Source organism: Homo sapiens, chromosome 14 (genome assembly GCF_000001405.40).
Source record: "Homo sapiens chromosome 14, GRCh38.p14 Primary Assembly".
Taxonomy (NCBI): Eukaryota; Metazoa; Chordata; class Mammalia; order Primates; family Hominidae; genus Homo; species Homo sapiens.
In genome coordinates this window covers 35,799,022-35,814,060 of record NC_000014.9, presented here as the reverse complement: position 1 = coordinate 35,814,060, position 15,039 = coordinate 35,799,022, and the positions used below count along the sequence as shown (strand labels likewise).

At 40.9% G+C, this 15,039-nt stretch overlaps 1 protein-coding gene across 21 annotated transcripts in view, besides 3 other annotated features; it reads left to right on the top strand.

The window, feature by feature from the left end:
* Window positions 4,556–5,116: an enhancer, noted in NCBI's record as "H3K27ac hESC enhancer chr14:36278151-36278711 (GRCh37/hg19 assembly coordinates)". NCBI's record gives its function as "activates a minimal SCP1, AML or CMV promoter by ChIP-STARR-seq in naive H9 embryonic stem cells {active_cell/tissue: H9 hESC(naive)}" and the evidence as "EXISTENCE:reporter gene assay evidence [ECO:0000049][PMID:30033119]".
* Window positions 4,620–4,719: an enhancer, noted in NCBI's record as "active region_8281". NCBI's record gives its function as "activates an Ori minimal core promoter by ATAC-STARR-seq in GM12878 lymphoblastoid cells {active_cell/tissue: GM12878}" and the evidence as "EXISTENCE:reporter gene assay evidence [ECO:0000049][PMID:35858748]".
* The window catches only part of RALGAPA1 (Ral GTPase activating protein catalytic subunit alpha 1), a 270,940-nt gene continuing 260,666 nt past the window's right edge, over window positions 4,766–15,039 (top strand). For all 21 annotated transcript variants that reach the window (XR_007063998.1, NM_194301.4, NM_001346246.2 and 18 more), the window contains exon 1: window positions 4,766–5,331. Coding sequence is in view for 20 of the 21 variants with exons in the window: in NM_194301.4 (NP_919277.2) it covers window positions 5,226–5,331 (106 nt within the window). In the remaining variant the exon portion in view is untranslated. The remainder of the gene's footprint in view (window positions 5,332–15,039) is intronic.
* Window positions 4,800–5,039: a silencer, noted in NCBI's record as "silent region_5679". NCBI's record gives its function as "represses an Ori minimal core promoter by ATAC-STARR-seq in GM12878 lymphoblastoid cells {active_cell/tissue: GM12878}" and the evidence as "EXISTENCE:reporter gene assay evidence [ECO:0000049][PMID:35858748]".

Here is a 15,039-nt window from a genome sequence, read left to right as displayed (position 1 = left end):
CGTCTCACTGCAACCTCCACCTCCCAAGTTCAAGCAATTCTCCTGCCTCAGCCTCCTGAGTAGCTGGTTTTCACCATGTTGGGCAGGCTGGTCTTGAACTCCTGACCTCAAGTGATCTGCCTGTCTTGGCCTCCCAAAGTGCTGGCATTACAGGCATGAGCCACCACACCCAGCCAGAAACTATTCTATATGATACTGTAATTGTGGATACATGACCCTATGCATTTGCCAATACTCATAGAACTATTTTATAGCATGTAGAATGAACCTTAACGTATGCACATTAAAAGAAATCAGAGGATCCCACTGGAACACAAAATGTGACAAAATAATCAAACTGTATTATAAGTATGAAACAACCTCACTAAAGAAGGTGTAGAAAAAGGTACTTATTTGGGAATGAGTGGAATCTGTAAGACTAAAGACAAAAGAAAATGTACATATGCACGGTACTCTAGTTAATAAAGTTGTTTCTCATGGGAAAGTAGGTTAACAATTCTGATACTGTTATACATGTATACTGCAATAAAATAAGTAAATGTTTGGTATATGGTGGGAACCAAGTATCTTATTGTTGGAGTGGGAGTTTATAATAAGTAAAGGGAGAAGGGTAGAATGATTCATCTAGTAATGGATTAGAGTTGAGGCACCACATAGGTATTAATTCATGTTTAGCTTAATACAGATACAGATGGTTATGTACAGAAATATTTATAGGTATGTGTATATAGATGTGCTAGTAAACATATGTGTGCAGTTGGCCCTCTGTATCCATGAGTGCTGCATCTGTGGATTCCACCAACTAGGAATCAGAAAAAAATGGATGGTTACATCTGTACTGAACACACACAGACTTTTTTTTTCTTGTCATTATTCCCTAAACAATACAGAATACCAACTATTTACATAGCATTTACATTGCATTAGGTATTTTAAAGAATCTAGAGATGATTTGAAGTATATGGGTGGGGGTGGGGCACAGTGGCTTACACCTGTAATCCCAGCACTTTAGAAGGCCAAGGCAGGCGGATCGCTTGAGCCCAGAAGTTCAAGACCAGCCTGGGCAACATGGTGAAATCCCATCTTTACTAAAAGTCAAACAAATTAGCTGAGTGTGGTGTTGAGCCCCCAGGAGGCGGAGGTTGCAGTGAGCCAAGTTTGCACCACTGTACTCCAGCCTGGGTGACAGAGTGAGACTCTGTCTCAAAAAAAAAAAAAAAAAAAAAAAAAAAAAAAAAAAAAGAATAGTTTCACCACCCTAAAAAATATCCCATCCTTCACCTATTCAATCTTCTTCTCCCTCCCCTCAATCCTCTTGCAACCACTGATCTTTTTACTATTGCTATAATATTGCCTTTTCCAGAATGTCATATAACTAGAATCATACAGTATGTAGCATTTTCAGACTGGCTTCTTTCACTTAGCAATATGCATTTAAGTGTCATACATGTCTTTTTGTGGCTCAAGAACTCATTTCTTTTTATTGCTGAATAATATTCCATTGTATGGATGTACCACAGTATGTTTATTCATTTAACTACTGAAAGATATCTTGGTTGCTTCTAGTTTTTGGAGTTAGGAATAAAATTGCTATAAACATTTGTGTGTAGGCCAGGTGTGGTGGTTCATGCCTGTAATCTGTAACCCCAACACTTTGGGAGGCTGAGGTAGGGGGATCCCTTGAGGCCAGGAGTTAAAGACCAGCCTGGGCAAAATAGTGAGACCTTGTCTCTACTAAATTTTTTTTTTTTTTTTTTTTTTTTTTTTTTGTGAGATGGAGTTTCGCTCTTGTTGCCCAGGCTGGAGTGCAATGGCACGATCTCAGTTCACCGCAACCTCCGCCTCCCAGGTTCAAGTGATTCTCCTGCCTCAGACTCCCGAGTAGCTGGGGTTATGGGCACGCGCCACCACTCCTGGCTAATTTTGTATTTTTAATAGAGAAGGGGTTTCTCCATATTGGTCAGGCTGGTCTTGAAATCCTGGCCTCAGGTAATCCACCTGCCTCGGCCTCCCAAAGTGCTGGGATTACAGGAGTGAGCCACCACGCCTGGCCATCTACTAAATTTTTTTTTAATTAGCTGGGCTTTTTGGCACCTGCCTGTGTTACCAACTGCATGGGAGGCTGAGGTGAGAGGATTGCTTGAGTCCAGGAAGTTAAGGCTAAAGTGAGCTGTGACTGCACCACTGCATTCCAGCCTGGATGACAGAGCAAGACCCAGTCACTAAAAGAAAAAAAATCTAGTTCTCACAAGCAATATATATATATATATATATATATATATATTTTTTTTTTTTTTTTTTTTTTTTTTTTTTTTTGAGACAGAGTCTCACTCTGTCAACCAGGCTGGAGTTCAGTGGTGCAATCTTGGCTTACTGCAACCTCCGCCTCCTGGGTTTAAGCAATTCTCCTGCCTCAGTCTCCTGAGTGGCTGGGATTACAGGCGTGCCCCACCACGCCTGGCTAATTTTTTTGTATTTTTAGTAGAGACGGGGTTTCACCATGTTGGTCAGGCTGGTCTTGAACTCTCCTAACCTTGTGATCCGCCTGCCTCGGCCTCCCAAAGTGCTGGGATTACAGGCATGAGCCACCGTGCCTGGCCCTCACAAGCAATATTTCAAAGGTATATTTCTGGGTTTTATTTCCATGATAATTATGTCTGCTGTGGGGAAGACTTATCTTTCAAAGAATTTTAATATTTAAATCAATGGGAAGAGAAAAACCAGGCAGTGGGATGGGTGTGCCATATGTAAATTACATTATACTAGTTTGTTTTGCAATGGTGTTTTCATTTTTTCTCAGGTATACCAGCCATATAATTATTTTTAACGATATGTTACATTTTTATTCTCTAAAATTATGTCACTCATTTGCCAAACATTTACTGAGTACTTGCGCAAGAGAAAGGAAGGGACAGTGACATTCGTTCTTCTATTCGACACAGATTTATTGAGCCTATCTTGCAAAGAGCACTTTGCAAGAAGACTGGGATACAACTTTAGACAATCTATACAGTCTCTGTCCTCAGGGAGTTTACAGTCTCATGAAAGAGAGAATCTGTAAACAGTTACACAAATTACTGTATTTAAATTCTATGAAGGAAAGGAATGTTATGAGATGTGTCATTATAGATGTAACTTTCAATACTTTTCTCACCTAATTATCACAATCACTGATGTAGTTTACAAATGAGGAAAATCAGGCTGAGACTGAACTACATGCCAAGGGCCCGAGAGCAAGTAAGTCCTTGCAAGTGAAAAACAGAATGTCTAATTTAGGTCTATGTAATTCTAAAGATCATGCTTGAAAACATTGTATTATTGCCTAAATTTCACGAAACTGTGAGGGACAGACCTTATTTTGATTTTATTAATAAGAAAACTGATGCTGAGAGGAACTAGAACTAAAATCTCTTGAACAATCCCCTTATTTTTCTATTATGTTATAAGCTTCCTCAAAACATGTATGGCTTGTAAGTTTGATGATACAAACAAACCCTACATGTAGAAACTGAATAAATTTTTTGTACTTTAAAAAATATAGGATTGTTGTTGAAACAAACTACCATTAAGCAAAGCACTATATTTTAACATAATTTTGGCAAATGTCTTACATCTCTCTTCTTTGCTGATTTTGTTATTTTTCTATGTTAATCACATATTTCATTGGACAAGTCTATTGCTATGGGTGAGAACATAGAAGGAAACAGTTCAAACAAGCAAACTCACTCTTTATCAAATTATTTTGTGGAGGAAATGTTCCTGGCCAGGCGCAGTGGCCTCACGCCTGTAATCCCAGCAGTTTGGTAGGCTGAGGCGGGCGGATCACTTGAGTCTAGGAGTTTTAGACCAGTTTGGGCAAAATGGCGAAACCCCGTCTCTACAAAAAACACAAAAATTAGCTGGATGTGGTGGCGCGCACCTGTGGTCCCAGCTACTCGGTAGGCTGAGGTGGGAGCATCACCTGAGCCTGGGAGTTCGAGGCTTCAGTGAGCTGAGATCACACCACTGCACTTCTGCCTGGGACACAGAGACCCTGTCTGGAAAGAAAAGGAAAAAGGAAAAAAAAAAAAAGGGTTCCAATAAAAATTTCAATTTATGTCATTCAGAATTTCACGGATTTTTTTCAGCTATTGCAGATTCTTCAGATGACTCCATCAATGTAATAAGAACCTTGAATTCTTCTTTGCAGAGGAAAAACTGACAATATATTCATCTTTATGTGGGGTGCAGATGGGGAAAAGATTTTTAAAAGCACAATAGAAAAGGAAAGCAAGATTACTTTTATTTAAAAAACCTAGATACCTCTGCTTAAGCCTTTCTGTTGTCAAGTTGTTTGCAGCAAAAAACAGGGATATTGCAAATAGAAAAAATATGAAAGAAATCACATACATAGTGCAGGAAATATTATTAGTAATAGATTTAGGACAGAATAAATTGCCCAACTGTAACTTCGTTTATCTTTCTGCTAGAGGATCTGGTGGCCACAACAACTTATGCACATTTTCAAAGATAAATCATGGACATATTTAATAAAGATTACTTCTCTTTGCTTATTACTATCATTTGGCTTACAATGGAGCACGCAGTAACTACCTTCCTTGCCTTTCTTGAGATTCTCCTTTGGCTGCTTACACAGGAAACCAAGGCGGGGAGTGCCACGGGTGATCTCATGCTGGCATGACGTCAAGAACTCTTGACGTCAGAAGGCGGTTGCCACGGACACCGTTCGCCACCGACGGCAGAGTCGTGAAACCCCATCACTACCACACTCGTCTCCGTTTCGGCCTCTGCAGGGTGTAAGCTGCTAAAGAAGCTTCAACCTTAAGGGGGCCTCAGGGAGAGAGTTGTGCTCCTGCCGCCGAGAGCTCCACCTTCGTGGCTCTGGGTCCGGGGCCCCGGCCTGTGGCGGCGAGCGGCGGCCGCTGGAGACGAGCGGCGGCGGCAGGCGGCCAGCCCGGGTCTGCCTCGCTCCGTGCAGGGCCGGGAGAGGGATCCGCCATATTGGAGCTGGGGCCGAAGGTGCCTTGGAGCCGCGGCGCGAGGCGGGTGGAGGTGGCGGCCCTGGCCTGGATCGGGAAGGAGTCGGCTCTGCCCTGGCCCGCAAGGCTGGGGAGCTAATGAGCCTCTCTGGCTAGTCTCCTCCCCGTCCACTCCCTCCACTTTCTGCCGCCGGGACCCGGCTGGGAGCCGGCTGTGGCAGTGGCAGTGGCAGTGGCAGCGACAGGATGTTCTCCAAGAAGCCGCACGGGGACGTGAAGAAGTCCACCCAGAAGGTGCTAGACACCAAGAAGGACGCACTGACTCGCCTCAAGCACCTGCGCATCGTCATCGGTGAGGAGCGAGGGGTGGCAGCGCCGAGGCCTGGGTTGCCCGGCCTTCCCTCTCCTGGGAGCCCCTGCGGACTCTCTCTCGGGACCTGGCGCGGTGCAGGAGAGGGCAAATCGTAGCCTCTGCGGAGACGCGGGAGGGTGAATAATTCGGAGAAGCGAAAACTTGGCAGTTGGCAGCACTGATTACTGTTAACACAGTAATCTAATTTTGAGTTAATAGTCTGAACTTATTTTTTAAAATTGGTATTACTCTAAAAACTTAGATCTTTAAGACTTTGTGGGGAGACCTGGCGTTGTGGATAATGGTGTTTATAGGATATGTTTGCCAGATGACTACTGCCAACCCCACCCAAGTAAAAAGAAAAATAAAATCCTCTCTCAGACAATATAAACCTTAATCTTTCAAGTTTCTTGGCAGATGAAGACAAGGAGGTAGCAGTTACACCTCTTTGGGAAGTGGGCGGTTCCCAAAAAGCTGTGGGAAGGAGCCCCGCCCTTTTGTTAATGCACCTTGTTCATCACTAGTCATTTAGAGGGAGAACTATTATAGGTAGTTTAACTCATCCTTTGCTTCTCGAGAATTGTATATAATTCTATTTTTAATTAAAAATATTTTTTTTATCGTCTGCCCTTAAGTTCTGTTTTGCTGGTAGACCAAACAGTGCTCTAAGTTTTGAATATAATGTTAATCGACTCTTTTGAATACTTAGTCATTTGGTAGGCTGATAAAGGCTGTAATAATACTTATGGAACATCTGGTCCAGTAGTTGGATTTTTTAGATGAAGACATTTGAGATGAAAAGGAAAATTATTTCGCCTGTGTTGATACTTAGAGTTAATGGTGGAACTGGCTGAAGAAGATGCATTCATCCAGATGCCTGAATCCTAGTTCAGAGTTTATCTCGAGCTGTCCTCCTGATGCGTATTTGTTTTGGAAAGTGATGTTTATTTAGTGAAAAAAGTAAGTCCCTTATTTGAGGTACATGTTTCTCTAGTCTATTGTTTACTCATACCACCAGGATACCACCAATATTACCCAACATTTCTATGATGCTTTACTGTTTACAGTGATTTCACGTAAATTATGATAATCCTTGCAATAACTCTATAGGTAGATGATATTATTCTCCATTTTTTACCAACAAAAAAGCTGAAGTTTGGGAACATCGAGTAGTCAGCCAGCTACCAGGAGGCTGAGTCAGAATTGGAACCCAGATTTTGTGTCTCTAGTTTGTTTTTTTACTCTTTCTACATTTATGACAGCTAATCTTTGTCACAAGTAAATTGTATTTATTCCAGTGGAGTAGTAAGAAAGCAGTTAATCCAGTTTAGCGCTATAAAAAGCTCAGTTTTCAAGAAAATGTAAAGCTTCTAAATATAGTGGAGATTGTGATCTTTTTGTTTTCATTCTTCTTGAGAGTTAAGCCATTGAAATAAAGATTTAGCCGAGAATAGGACACAGTAAGTTAATGTGTGAATGCAGGCGAGGGATTCACAGGTAATGGCAGTTTGAAATTGAACACTTAATGGAGCTTGACACCTACTTGGGATAAGCTGTAGGTTAGGTAATGACACAGCTATAAAGTTGAGTTCCAATAAAGTATCGAGATTTCCTAAATTAAAGGCCATACTTTATTTATAGACTGGTTAAGGAATTATTTATATATACTTTTTTGGCATAGAGTTTTTTTCCATCTGGCAGACATGGAAAATTAAAAGGTAAATTAAGAGAGAGGTCACACATATAAGGCATTTTGTAGGACTTAGCTTGCTTGGTTTGAAAACAAAACAAAACAAAAACAAGTCTTTTATTGTTGTCGTTATTTTGTTTGAAATACAGTTAATGTAATTTCTAAGAAAATGAATGAGAGAAAGTAGAATGACAAAAACTAGTGTCTTTTAGAGGTCTGCCAATCAGGTATTTGATTTTGCAGATGGAAAATCCTTTCTGGAAGTAGGTGCGGGCTTTAAATAAGGTAAACACAATGAGGAAACTAGTTTGCAGAGTAATTGGGCATTGCCAGTTACACAGGCTTTTGATTTTTGTTTGGTCCCATAGTTCATAGTTCATATGGGACCAAACAGAACTGCCATTCACTCAGGGTACTTATGGGAGGATTCAGTGCATCTATATGTATGAGAACATAATCATAATTTAAACATCCGCTGTAAACTTTTTTCCTGGCATGTGTTCCCACTGTAGGACAATCCAAGTTAAATTTATAGAACTTGACTCTGAAGATTTAGATTTAAATCTGGTATGTTTATTGATACTGTTGCATAATTGATTTGTAAAAACTAGAAGTCAGGGTTTTCTTAAAACAGAAAAAAAAGCCTTGTCTGATTTCTAAAGCTGTTATCCTTTCTACCTACCCCCTCCCCCCCATTTTACAACTAATGGTAATGATATTATAAATTAGCACATGTAAATTGGCTAACATAATGCTTGGCATATAGTGGGTATTGACTTAGTGTTAGTTTTGTTCTACTTTACAGCTAACAGTTCAGTCCTCTTGATATAAAAATAAAAAGTGCTTATTTAGCTAAAAATATTTATTGTTAAATAATTCTGACAGCTTTATTGAGGTATAATTGGCACACAATAAACTGCACATATTTAAAGTACATAATTGAATAATTTTTACATATGTATATCTCCTGAAACCATCATAACAAATATTTAAAATATCCAATCAAGATAACAAATATAGACAGTGACAATCAGGATAATATATGTATAATCAGCTGGGTGCGGTAGCTCATGCCTGTAATCCCAGGACTTGGGGAGGCCGAGGTGGGCGGATCACGAGGTCAGGAATTCAAGACCAGCCTGGCCAACAGAGTGAAACCGGGTCTCTACTCTACTGAAAATACAAAAATTAGCCAGGCATGGTGGCGTGCACCTGTAGTCCCAGCTACTCAGGAGGCTGAGGCAGGAGAATCGCGTGAACCTGGGAGGCAGAGGTTGTGGTGAGTCGAGATCACGCTACTGCACTCCAGCCTGGGCAACAGAGCGAGACTCCGTTTCAGGAAAAAAAAAAAAAAAAGAAAAAGAAAAAATATATATATGTATGTATGTATAACCTCCCAAAGTTTTCTCATGCCCCTTTGTAATCTCTTTCTCCCACCTCAGTTGTACCCTCCCACCTTTCCTGAGCAACCACTAATCTGCTGTCACCCTAGATTAGTTTGCATTATCTAGAGTTTTATATAAATGGGATTATACAGCATAAAAATGGAATTATGCAGTACGGTCATTTTATGTTTGATTTCTTTTTTTTTTTTTTTTGACACGGAGTCTCACTCTGTCACCCAGGCTGGAATGCAGTGGCGCGATCTCGGCTCACTGCAACCTCCGCCTCCCGGGTTCAAGCAATCCCCCTGCCTCAGCCTCTTGAGTAGCTGGGATTACAGGCGCACGCCACCAAGCCTGGCTAATTTTTTCTTTTTTTTTTTTCTTTTGTATTTTAGTAGAGACAGGGTTTCACTGTGTTGCCCAGGCTGGTTTCGAACTCCTGAGCTCAGGCAGTCCCCCCGCCTCAGCCTCCTAAAGTGCTGGGATTACAGGCATGAGCCACGGCGCCCCGCCTTTTTTTTTTGTATTCCTAATAGAGATGGGGTTTCACCATGTTGGTCAGGCTGGTCTTGAACTCGCGACCTCGTGATCCGCCTGCCTCAGCCTCCCAAAGTGCTGGGATTACAGGCGTGAGCCACCACACCTGGCCTTGGTTTCTTTTTCTCAGCCTCATTATTTTGAAATTAATCTGTATCCTGGTATGTTAATAGTTCATTGCTTTTTTTTCTTGTGACAGGGTCTTCTGTCACTCTGGCTGGAGTACCGTGTTGCAAACGTGGCTCATTGCAGCCTTGACCTTTCAGGGTCCAGCGATCCTCCTTCCTCTACCTCCCTAGTAGCTGGGACATGCACCACCGTGTATGGCCAATTAAAAAAAATTTTTTTTTGTAGAGATGGGGTCTCATGTTGCCCAGGCTGGTTGCAAGCTCCTGGACTCAAGCAATCCTCCCATCTCAGCCTCCCAAAGTATTCTGGGATTACAGGTGTGAGCCACTGTACCTAACTGTTAATCTCTTTTTATTTCTGAATAGTTACTCACTATTTATTTATTTATTTATTTATTTATTTATTTATTTATTTATTTTTGAGATGGAGTCTCACTCTGTCACCCAGGCTGGAGTGCCATGGCACGATCTCGGCTCACTGCAATCTCTGCCTCCCGGGTTCAAGCAAGTCTCCTGCCTCAGCCTCCTAAGTAGCTGGGATTACAAGTGTGCACCATCAGGCCCAGCTAATTTTTGTATTTTTAGTAGAGACAGGGTTTCACCATGTTGGCCAGGCTGGTCTTGAACTCCTGACCTCGTGATCCTCAAGCCTCAGCCTTCCAAAGTGCTGGGATTACAGGTGTGAGCCACCGCGCCCAGCCGTTATTCACAATTTTTTGTTTGTTTTTGAGATGGAGTCTCGCTCTGTCGCCCAGGCTAGAGTGCAGTGGCTTGATCTTGGCTCACTGCAACGTCCACCTCCCCAGTTCAAGTGATTCTCCTGCCTCAGCCTCCCAAGTAGCTGGGATTACAGGTGGGTGTCACCATGCCTGGCTAATTTTTGTACTTAAATAGAGATGGGGTTTCGCCATGTTGGCCAGGCTGGTCTTGAACTCCTGACCTCAGGTGATCCACCCACCTCGGCCTCCCAAGACCATTGTATAACTTCTTTGATGAGTTTGTGTTTAAATCTTTTACATGTCTTTTAATTTTTTTGCTTTCTTAATTCAGTTTTGAAAGTTCTTTAGGCCAGGTGCAGTGGCTCATGCCTGTAATCTCAGCACTTTGGAAGGCTGAGGCAGGTGGCTCACTTGAGGTCAGGAGTTCGAGACCAGCCTGGCCAAGATGGTGAAACCCCATCTCTACTAAAAATAACCAGGTGTGATAGCACATGACTGTAATCCCAGCTATTCAGGAGGCTGAGATGGGAGAATTGCTTGAACCTGGGAGGTGGAGGTTTGCAGTGAGCCAAGATTGTGCAACTGCACCCTAGCCTGGGTAACAGAGTGAGACTGTCTCAAAAAAAAAAAAAAAAGTTCTTTATATATTCTAGATACAGATACTGTATGAGACACATGATTTGCAAAGATTTTTTTTTCCCCAGTCTTTGGGCTGTCTCTTCGTTCTCTTAAAGTTTTCTTTGAAGAAGAAGTTGTTTCTTTGAAGAAGCAGAAATGGTTAATTTTTATTGTCTATATATCAATTTTTAATTTATTTTTTTTATTTTGTATCTAAAATCTTTGCCTAACCCATGATCACAAAGATTTTCTTCTATGCTTTTTTCTAGAAGTTTTACAGTTTTAGGATCTATTTTCCTCTATGATTCATCTGAGTTTTAACTATGGTATGAGGTGGCTAGAAGTTTACGTTTTTGCATGTGAATATCCAGTTGTTCCAGCTCTGTTTGTTGAAAAAGGCTATCTTTACTGAATTGCCTTTGTACTTTTGCCAAAATTTAGTTTTCCAGAAATATGTGTGGGCCTATTTCTGGACTCTTATTTTGTTCCAGTGATCTGTTTATCTTTGTTGGTGCCAGTACCGCAGTGTTTGATTACTGTAACTTTATAATAAATCTTGAAATCAAGTAGTGTTGTCCCTCCTACTTTGTTCTTCCTTTTCAAAGTTTCTTTTTTTCCCAAATGCCAGGTCCTTTACATTTCCATATGAGTCTAAAGATTAGTTGAGCTTGGTGTGGTGGCTCACACCTGTAATCCCAGCACTTTGGGAGGCTCAGGTGGGCAGATTGCTTGAGCCCAGGAGTTTGAGACCAGCTTGGACAACATGCTGAAACCCCATCTCTCCAAAAAAGAGAAAAAAAAGAAATAGCTGGGCATGGTAGTGTGTGCCTGGGATCCCAGTCACCTGGGAGGCTGAGGTGAGAGGATCACCTGGGCCTGGGAGGTCGAGGTTGCAATGAGCCATGATTGCACCACTGCACTCCAGCCTGGGTGACACAGTGACACTGTATTTTTTTTTTTAAAGGTCAGTTTCTTAAAAAAAAAAAAAACCCACCACCACCAAAAAACCTATTGGGATTTTGGTTGGGATTATGTTGAATCTATAGATCAATTTGGGAAAATTGACGATATTGAATACACTGATTCATGAACAAGGCGTTTCTCCACCTACTTAGGACTTCTTTAATTTCTCTCAGCAGTGTTTTGTAGTTCAGTGTGCAGGTCTTATACATCTTTTGTCAGACTTATACCTAAATACTTTCTACTTTGATCTTTTGTAAATGTTACCTTTATATCTATTTCTGATTGGATCTCATATCAGGAAATACCACTGATTTATGTATAGTGAGCTTATGTCCTACAAACCTGCTGAACTGACTTAGTTCTGTTATTTATTTATTTTTTTGAGACAGAGTCTCACTCTGTTGCCCAGGCTGGAGTGCAGTGGCATGATCTCAGCTCACTGCAACCTCCGCCTCCCAGGTTCAAGCAATTCTCCTGCCTCAGCCTACTGAGTGGCTGGGATTACAGGCACACACCACTGAGCCTGGCTGATTTTTGTGTTTGTAGTAGAGACGGGGTTTCACCATGTTGATAAGGCTGGTCTCGAACTCCTGACCTCGTGAGCCACCTGCCTTGGCCTCCCAAAGTCCTGGGATTACAGGTGTGAGCCACAGCACCCAGCCAGTTCTGTTAGTTTTTTGTAGATTCTTTTGGATATTTTTCATAGAGAATCAGTCTGCAAATACAGTTTTACTTCTTCCTTTCTAATCTGGATGCCCTTTATTTCTTTTTCTTGCCTTACTGAAGTGACTAGAACCTCCAATGTGACATAGATTAGAAGTAATGAGAGTGGGCAGTCTTGTCTTGTTCTTGATCTTAGGGGTAAAGCAATCGATTGATTTTTTTCACTGTATAATATGATCCTAACTGTAGGTTTTTTGTAGATGCCCTTTATCAGATTTAGAGAGTTTCATTCTATTCCTGGTTGGCTGAGGGTTTCTATCAGGAATGGATGTTGGATTTATTGAATGCTTTTTCTGTTTCTGTTGGTATAAACAGAAGATTTCATCTAAGTTGTCAAATTTATAGGTATAAATTGTTGATTATACTCTCTTATTATCCTTTTAATATTATAGGATTCATGTCCAGGCATGGTGGCTCATGCTTATAATCCCAGCACTTTGGGAGGCCAAGGCGGGTGGATCACTAGAGGTCAGGAGTTCGAGACCAGCCTGACCAACATACTGAAACCCTGTGTGAACTAAAAATACAAAAGTAGCTGGACCTTGTGGCGCATGCTTGTAGTCCCAGCTACTAGGGAGGCTGAGGCAGGAGAATCACCTGAACCCAGGAGGCAGAGGTTGCAGTGAGCCAAGATTATGCCACTGTACTCCAGCCAGGGCAACAGAGCGAGACTCTATCTCAAATGTGTGTGTGTGTGTGTGTGTGTGTGTGTGTGTGTGTGTCTGTGTATATATATATAGCAGGACCCATGGTAATGTTATCCTTCTCGTTTCTTGTCTGATAATTTGTCTTTCTTTTCCTGATCAGCCTGACTAGAGTCTTATCGCTTTTATTGATCTTCTAAAAGAACTATCTTTTGGTTTTATTGATTTTTCCGTGTGTGTGTGGTTTTTTTTTTTTTTTTAATTGATGTCTGCTTTGGTCTTTGCTATTTTCTTTTTTATTTTTGGAGGCGGGACGCAGGAGACAGAGTTTCGCTCGTCGCCCAGGCTGGAGTGCAATGGCGCAATCTTGCCTCACTGCAACCTCCGCCTCCCAGGTTCAAGCTGTTCTTCTGCCTCAGCCTCCCGAGTAGCTGGGACTACAGGCATGCGCCACCCCGCCTGGCTAATTTTTGTATTTTTAGTAGAGACAGGTTGTTACCTTGTTGGCCAGGCTGGTCTCAAACTCCTGACCTCAAGTGATCCACCAGCCTGGGCCTCCCAAAGTGCTGGGATTACAGGTGTGAGCTACCATGCCTGGCAGTCTTTGTTACTTTCTTTCTTCTACTTAGTTTAGTTTAATTTGCTCTTTTTGTTGTTTCATAAAGGGAAGCTGTGATTATTGATTTGAAACTGTTCTTCTTTCTACTGTAGGCATTTGGTGATAAAAAATTTTCCCCTAACTAGCATCTCACAACTTAGAATATTTTGTATTTTCATTTTCATTTAGTTCCAAAATACTTTCAACTTTCCTTTTGATTTTTTTTAATCCATGGGTTATTTACAAGTCTGTTCTTTAGCTTCACATATTTATGGATTATTCAGATACCTTTTGGTTGTTGATTTCTAATTCAATTCCATTGTAGTTAGAAAACACTATTTTTTATAACCTGAATTATTTAAAAGCTAATGAAATTTGTTTGATGGTCCAGAGACATTTTAACTTGATAAATTTCTTGTATGCACTTGAAAGGAATATATATTCTGCTCTTGGTAGGTTAGGTGTTCGAAAAATGTCAATTAGGACGAGTTGCTTGTTAGTGTTGTTCAAGTCTTCTCTGTCCTTACTGAATTTCTGTCTAGCTGTTTTCATCAAGTACTGAGAGAAGAGGGCTGAAGTTTCTGACTGTAATTGTGGGTTTTGTCTGTTTTCTTTTGAACTTCTATCAGTATTTACTTCATATGTTTTGAAGCTCTGTCATTAGCTGCCTAAACCTTTAGGATTATTTCTTTTTGATGAATTGACTTCTTTATCATTTTGAAATGATATCTTTCTCCCTGGTAATAGTCTTTGCTTTGGAATCTACTTTGATATTAATATAGCCATTGCCACTTTTCATTTGATTAGTGTTAGCAGGATATATATATATTCCCATCTTTTAAATCTACTTGTGTTTTTATATGTGAAGTGGGTTTATATTGTTGGCAGCATATGGTTGGGTCTTTTTTATCTAACCTAATTATCTATGCCTTTTAATTGAGATGTTTGGATAGTTACATTTAACATGATTGTTGATATGGTTAGGTTTGAGTTTGTCATCTTTCTATTTGTTTTCTGTTTGGCCTGTCTGTTCCTTAGTACCCTTTTTTCTCCCTTCTTTTGAATTAGTTGAGTAAATTTTATGATTATTTTCCCTCGATTTATTATTTCAGTGACTGCTTTATGATTTATAGTATATACCTTTTTTCTTTTTTTTTTTTTCTGGGACCGAGTCTCGCTCTGTTGCCCAGGCTGGAGTGCAGTGGTACGATCTTGGCTCACTGCAACCTCCGCCTCTCAGGTTAGAGCGATTCTCCTGCCTCAGCTTCCCAAGTAGCTGGGATTACAGGCACGCATTGCCACGCCCAGCTTATTTTTGTATTTTTAGTAGAGACAGGGTTTCCCCATGTTGGCCAGGCTGGTCTCGAACTTCTGACCTCAGGTGATCCACCTGCCTCAGCCTCCTGAAGTGTTGGGATTACATGGGTGAGCCACTGTGCCCAGCCTATAGTATACATCTTTAACTTGCCAGAGTGTACACCTTTAAGTGATACTATACCACTTCCCATGTAGTATAAGAACCTTGTAAGAATTTACTTCCATTTCTTCACCCAACCTTTATGCTTTTGTTGTCATATATTTTACTTATCATGTTATCAGCCATACACTATATTATTTTGTTTAAACAAGTAGTGATCTTTTAAAGATTTTTAAGTAATAAAAAGTCTCATACCCATGTAGTACCATTTACAGTGCTCTTCATT